Here is a 4,301-nt window from a genome sequence, read left to right as displayed (position 1 = left end):
TTTCTCTCAATGTCCCTTTTCCTTGTAACATTTATAGATGTATGAGTCTATGGGAGAATTTAGGGAAGTTAAAGGTGGCTCAAAGGCCTTGAGATAATTTCCCTGGAGTTGTTTTAGTTAGAGGGTGAATACTTTATTTTGTGTAGATTTAGCTTCGCCAGCCTGTGCTTCTTCACGTTATTGTGTTAAAAACATGGATCTCAGAGAGAAGGTAATTTTGACAATTACTGTAATGTTATCTTAAAAAAGTTTCCCAGTGCCATTTATTGCATGTATTTCTGCACTGAATTAAAACACTTCATTGACTTTCTGTATTAAATTCAAATATATATATCTGGGATTTTTGTATTTATTCATCTCTGGAATAAATACAAAATTCTGGAGCATGCTGCTTCACAAATGCCACGTCATTGTAACATTTTTTAAAAAATTGTTTACTTCCATAGGTTTTTGGGGAACAGGTGGTGTTTGGTTACATGAGTAAGTTCTTTAGTAGTGATTTGTGAGATTTTGGTGCACCCATCACCCAAGCAGTATACACTGAACCCAAATTGTGGTATTTTATCCCTCACTCCCCTCCCACCGTTTCTCCCGAGTCCCCAAAATTTATTGTATCATTCTTATGCCTTTGCATCCCCATAGCTTAGCTCCCATTTATGAGTGAGAACATACGATGTCTGCTTTTCCATTCCTTAGTTACTTCGCTTAGAATAATCATCTGCAGTTCCATCCAGGTTGCTGCCAATGCCATTAATTCATGTCTTTTTATGTGCTGAGTAGTATTCCATCATATAGATATATATGTAAATGATATATATATATACTGTATATGTATACTATATATATATGCTATATATGTATACTATATATATATATATATGCTATATATGTATATGACCACAGTTTCTTTATCTACTCGTTGATTGATAGGTATTTGGGCTGGTTCCATATTTTAGCAACTGTAAATAGTGCTGCAGTAACATGGGTGTGCAAATATCATTTTCATATAAGGACTTCTTTTCCTCTGGGTACATAGCCAGTAGTGGGATTGCTGGATCAAATGGTAATTCTAGTTTTAGTTCTTTAAGGAATCTCCATACTGTTTTCCATAGTGGTTGTACTAGTGTACATTCCCACCAGCAGTGTAGAAGTGTTCCCTTTTCACTGCATCCATGCCAACATCTATTATTTTTTGCATTTTTTTGCTTATGGCCATTCTTGCGGGAGTAAGGTGGTATTACATTGTGGTTTTGACTTGCATTTCTCTGATCATTAGTGATGTTGAGCATTTTAAAAATATTTTTGTTGGCCATTTGTATATCTTCTTTTGAGAATTGTCCATTTATGTCCTTAGCACACTTTTTGATGGGATTGTTTGTTTCTTTCTTGCTAATTTGAGTTCCTTGTAGATTCTGGATATTATTCATTTTTTGGATGTGTAGATTGTGAACCACTCTGTGGGTTATCTGTTTACTCTGATGACTGTTTCTTTTGTTGTGCAGAAGCTCTTTAACTAAGTCTCACCTATTTATCTTCATTTTGTTGCATCTGGTTTTGGGTTCTTGGTCATGAAGTCTTTGCCTAAGCTGATGTCTAGAAGGGTTTTTTTCGATGTTATCTTCTAGGATTTTTATAGTTTCAGGTCTTAGATTTAGGTCCTTGATCCATCTTGAGTTGATTTTTGTATAAGGTGAGAGATGAGGATCCAGTTTCATTCTCCTACATGTGGCTTGCCAATTATCCCAGCACCATTTGTTGAATAGGGCGTCCTTTCTCCACTTTATGTCTTTGTTTACTTTGGCTGGCTGTAAGTATTTGGGCTTATTTCTGGGTTCTCTATTCTGTTCCATTGGTCTATGTGCCTATTTTTATACCAATACTATACTGTTTTGGTGAATATGGCCTTATAGTATAATTGGAGGTCAGGTAATGTGACGTCTTCAGGTTTGTTCTTCTTGCTTAGTCTTGCTTTGGCTATGTGGGCAATTTTTTGGTTCCATATGAATTATAGGATTGTTTTTTCTAGTTCTGTGAAGAATGATGGTGGTATTTTGATGAGAATTGTGTTGAATTTATAGATTGCTTTTGGCAGTATGGTCATTTTCACAATATTGAGTCTACCAATCCATGAGCATGGGATTTGTTTGCATTTGTTTGTGTCATCTGTGATTTCTTTCAGCCATGTTTTGTAGTTTTCCTTTTAGAGGTCTTTTACTTCCTTGGTTAGGTATATTCCTAAGTATTTTATTTATTTTTTTTGCAGCTATTGTGAAAGGAGTTGAGTTCTTGATTTGATTCTCAACTTGGCAGCTGTTGGTGTATAGCAGAGCTATTGATTTGTGTACATTAATTTTGTATCCTGAACTTTGCTGAATTCATTTATCAGTTTAAAGAGCTTTTTGGAGGAGTCTTTAGGGTTTTCTAACTATATGATCATGTCATCAGAAAACAGCAACAGTTTGATTTCCTTGTTACCAATTTGGATGCCCTTTATTTCTTTCTCTTGTCTAATTGCTCTGGCTAGGACTTCCAGTACTATGTTGAAGAGGAGTGGTGAGAGTAGGCATCCTTGTCTTGTTCCGATTCTCAGATGGAAAGATTTCAACTTTTCCCCATTCAGTATTATGTTGGGTGTGGGTTTATCATAGATGGCTTTTATTACATTGAGGTATGTCCCTTGTATGCTGATTTTACACAGGGCTTCAATCATAAAGGGATGCTTAATTTTGTCAAATGTTTTTTTCTGTGTCTATGAGATGATTGTGTGATTTTTGTTTTTAATTCTGTTTATGTGGTATATCACATTTATTGACTTGTGTATGTTAAACCATCCCTCCATCCCTGGTATGAAACCCACTTGACCATGGTGGATTATTATTTTTTTTTTTGATACACTTTTGGATTTGGTTACCCAGTATTTTGTTAAGGATTTTTGCATCTATGTTCATCAGAGATATTGGTCTGTAGTTTTCTTTTTTGTTATGTCATTTCCATGGTTTTTGTGTTAGGGTGATACTGGCTTCATACAATGATTTAGAGAGGAGGCCCTGTTTCTCTATCTTGTGGAGTAGTGTCAGAGGATTAGTACCAATTCTTCGATGAATGTCTGATAGAATTCAGATGTAAATTCATCTGGTCCTGGACTTTTTTTTGGTTGCTAATTTTTAAATTACCATTTCAATCTTGCTGCTTGTTATTTGTCTGTTCAGGGTTTCTAATTTTTCCTGATTTAAGCTAGGAGGATTGTATATTTTCAGGAATGTATTCATCTCCCTTAGGCTTTCCAGTTTATGTGCATAAAGGTGTTCATAGTAGCCTTGAATGATCTTTTGTATTTCTGTGGGGTTGGTTGTAATATGTCCTATTCTGTTTCTAATTGAGCTTATTGTGGATCTTCTCTCTTCTTTTCTTGGTTAATCTCACTAACGGTCTGTCAGTTTTATTTATCTTTTCAAAGAATCAGCATTTTGTTTCATTTATCTTTAGTATTTTTGTTTGTTTGTTTGTTTGTTTCAATTTCATTTAATTCTGCTCTGATCTTGGTTATTTCTTTTCTTCTGCTGGGTTTAGGTTTGGTTTGTTCTTTTTTCTCTAGTTCCTTGAGGTGTGACCTTAGATTGTCTATTTGTGCCCTTTTAGACTTTTTGATATAGGCATTTAAGGCTGATGAATTGAATGTAAATTCTGCTTTTGTTGGGTAGAATGTTCTGTAAATATCTGTTAAGTCCATTTGTTCTAGGGTATAGTTTAAATTCATTGTTTCTTTGTTGACTTTCTGTCTTAATGACCTGTCTAGTGCTGTCAGTGGTGTATTGAAGTCCCCCACTATTATTGTGTTGCTGTCTATTTCATTTCTTAGGTGTAGCAGTAATTTTTTTTTTGTAAATTTGGGAGCTCCAGTGTTAGGTTCATATTTATTTAGGATTGTGATATTTTCCTGTTGGACAAGGCCTTTTATCATTATGTAACATTCTTCTTTGTCTTTTTTAACTGCTGTTGCTTTAAAGTTTGTTTTATCTGATATAAAAATAGCTACATCTGCTGCTCTTGGTGTCCATTTGCATGGAAATACTTGGTTGGTAAATTCTTATCCATTCTGCACTTCTGTGTTTTTTAAGTGGAGCACTTAAGCCATTTACATTCAATGTTATTATTGAGATTTGAGGTACTATTCTATTCATCATACTATTTGTTGCTAGAATACCTTGGTTTTATTTATTTATTTATTGTATTTTTGTTTTATAGTTGCTGTGAGATTCATCCTTTAAATGGGTTCTATTTTAATGTGTTTCCAGGATTTG

The sequence above is a fragment of the Homo sapiens genome, chromosome X (assembly GCF_000001405.40).
Source record: "Homo sapiens chromosome X, GRCh38.p14 Primary Assembly".
NCBI lineage: Eukaryota > Metazoa > Chordata > Mammalia > Primates > Hominidae > Homo > Homo sapiens.
This window is presented reverse-complemented; position numbering follows the sequence as displayed.